The 2,802-nt window shown below is 37.6% G+C and overlaps 1 annotated feature.

Annotated features, from left to right (window-relative positions):
• Positions 2,323-2,523: a silencer, noted in NCBI's record as "peak2933 fragment used in MPRA reporter construct". NCBI's record gives its function as "represses an SCP1 promoter by STARR-seq MPRAs in K562 erythroleukemia cells {active_cell/tissue: K562}" and the evidence as "EXISTENCE:reporter gene assay evidence [ECO:0000049][PMID:32103011]".

Raw genomic sequence — 2,802 nt, forward strand, 5'->3', positions numbered from 1 at the left:
TTTTTAATCATTTTCTTGAGCTGACACTCTCCTCTGGTCAATTTCACCTTTTTTTCCCCATAAGTTATTGGGGTACAGGTGGTATTTGGTTACATGCATAAGATCATTAGTGGTGATTTGTGAGATTTTGGTGCACCCATCACCTGGGCAGTATACACTGCACCCTATTTGTAGTCTGTTATCCCTCATCCCCTTTCCACCCTTCCCCCCAGTCCTTAAAGTGCATTGTATCATTTTTATGGCTTTGTGTCCTCATAGCTTAGTTCCCACGTATCAGTGAGAACATACGATGTTTGGTTTTCCATTCCTGAGGTACTTGGCTTAGAATAATAGTCTCCAATCTCATCCAGGTTGCTGCAAATGCCGTTAATATTCCTTTTTATGGCTGAATAGTATTCCATCATATAAATATACCACAGTTTCTGTAACCACTTGTTGATTGATGGGCATTTGGGGTTGGTTCCACTTTTTTGCAATTGCGAGCTGTGCTGCCATAAACGTGTGTACAGGTATCTTTTTCATATAATGACTTCTTTTCCTCTGGGTTGATACCAGTAGTGGAACTGCTAGATCAAATAGTAGTTCTACTTTTAGTTCTTTAAGCAATCTCCACACCATTTTCCATAGTGGTTGTAATAGTTTACATTCCCACCAGCAGTGTAGAAGTGTTCCCTTTTTACCACATCCACGCCAACAGCTACTGTTTTTGGATTTTTTTCTTATGGCCATTCTTGCACGAGTAAAGTGGCATCATATTGTGGTTTTGATTTGCGTTTCCCTAATCATTAGTGATGTTGAGCATTTTTCATATGTTTGTTGGCCATCTGTGTATCTTCTTTTGAGAATTGTCTATTCATGTCCTTAGCCCACTTTTTGATGGGATTGCTTTTCTTCTTACTGATTTGTTTGAGTTCATTGTAGATTCTGGATATTAGCCCTTTATCAGATGTGTAGATTGTGAAGATTTTCTCCCACTCTGTGGGTTGTCTTAAAAGAGCAATTTTATTTTGCTCATGATTTTGTAGGTCAAGAACTAGGCTTTTCTGGATCCAGAGGAGTCATTTACATGATAGCTCACTCTCTTAAATGGCAAATTGGTACTGAATGTCATCTGGGAACTCAGCAGGACTTCAGTCTGGGACCTCCAGTTCTTCTCTATGTGGGCTTCTCCACGGGATTGCTTCGTCTTCCTCATAGCACAGTGGCTGGTTTTCAAGAGCAATTGTTCCAAGAGACAGATAGTGGAAGCTGTCAGTTTCATAAGGCCTAGGCACAGAAACAGGTACAGAGTCACTTCTGTAGTTTTCTGTCGATTAAAGCAATTGCAGAACACACACAAAATCAAAAGGGAAAGAACATAAATCCCCCACATCGCCATGGTTAGGTTGAAATGTTAAATGAAAAAAAAAAAGTGTGTCATTCCTACTCGATTGTCAAGAATTTTTATATTTTAAGACTCTATTTGGTTTACTGCATCTAACACAGTACCTTAAGTTGTCATTGTTAAAGTTAATTTAAAGTTAAATTGAACAATGATTTTATATTGCTCAATATTTGAGGGAAAGTGTGAAAGCTGTTTTTCTAAAATTGAGAGAGAATAAACTGGATAGAATCTTGAAAAAAAAAAAAAAAGACAGAAAGAAAGAAAGAAAGAGTGTTTTTCCCCACTTTATGTTTTTGTTTGCTTTGTGGAAGATTAGTTGGCTGTAAGTATTTGGGTTTATTTCTGGGTTCTCTATTCTGTTCCATTGGTCTATGTGTCTATTTTTATACCAGTACCATGCTGTTTTGGTGACTATGGACTTATAGTATAGTTTGAAATCAGGTAGTGTGGATGGCTCCAGATTTGTTATTTTTGCTTAGCCTTGCTTTGGCTATGTGGGCTCTTTTTTGGTTCCATATGAATTTTAGGATTGTTTTTTCTAATTCTGTGACAAATGATGGTGGTATTTTGATGGGGATTGCATTGAATTTTTATATTGCTTTTGGCAGTATGGTCATTTTCACAATATTGATTCTACTGATCCATGAGCATGGGATGTGTTTCCATTTGTTGGTGTCATCTATGATTTCTTTCAGCAGTATTTTGTAATTTTCCTTGTAGAGATCTTTCACCTCCTTGGTTAGGTATATCCCTAAGTATTTTATTTATTTATTTATTTTGCAGCTGTTGTGAAAGGGGTTGACTTCTTGATTTGATTCTCTGCTTGGTTGCTGTTGGTGTATAGAAGAGCTACTGATTTGTGTACATTAATCTCGTATCCAGAAACTTTGCTGAATTCTTTTATCAGTTCTAGGAGCTTTCTAGAAGAGTCTTTAGGGTTCTCAAGATAAACGATCATATTATCAGCAAACAGTGACAATCAATTTCACCTTTAACCACAGAGAAACGTAGAACTGAAAGAAGGCAATCCACCAACCATAAAAGTTACAGGAAGATAAAATACCAGAGGGCAGCTTATCAGTCTTCTCTTGTTTACATTAGTCCTTCACTTGTGAAGGGTTTATGTGCTGCCCTGATGTTACCTTCCAGACACCTGACTATTGGTCTAGCCTTTTGTTGCTGCTTTCTATAGTGAAGGAGTAGGCAATGATAATCTTAGATTCATGGTACATAAAGGCAAAGGCAAAAATCTTTTAAAAAGAAAAGTTTCCCTAATTGGTGCTTCAACTGCCACTGCTAGCCCTCTACCCCAGGCTGTAAACACACACACACACACACACACACACACACATATACAGCTTTTCATTTCCCAAGAATTTTGTTATGGCTTTTCACTTGGTTCCCACAATCCAATGCTC

The sequence above is a fragment of the Homo sapiens genome, chromosome 17 (assembly GCF_000001405.40).
Source record: "Homo sapiens chromosome 17, GRCh38.p14 Primary Assembly".
Taxonomy (NCBI): Eukaryota; Metazoa; Chordata; class Mammalia; order Primates; family Hominidae; genus Homo; species Homo sapiens.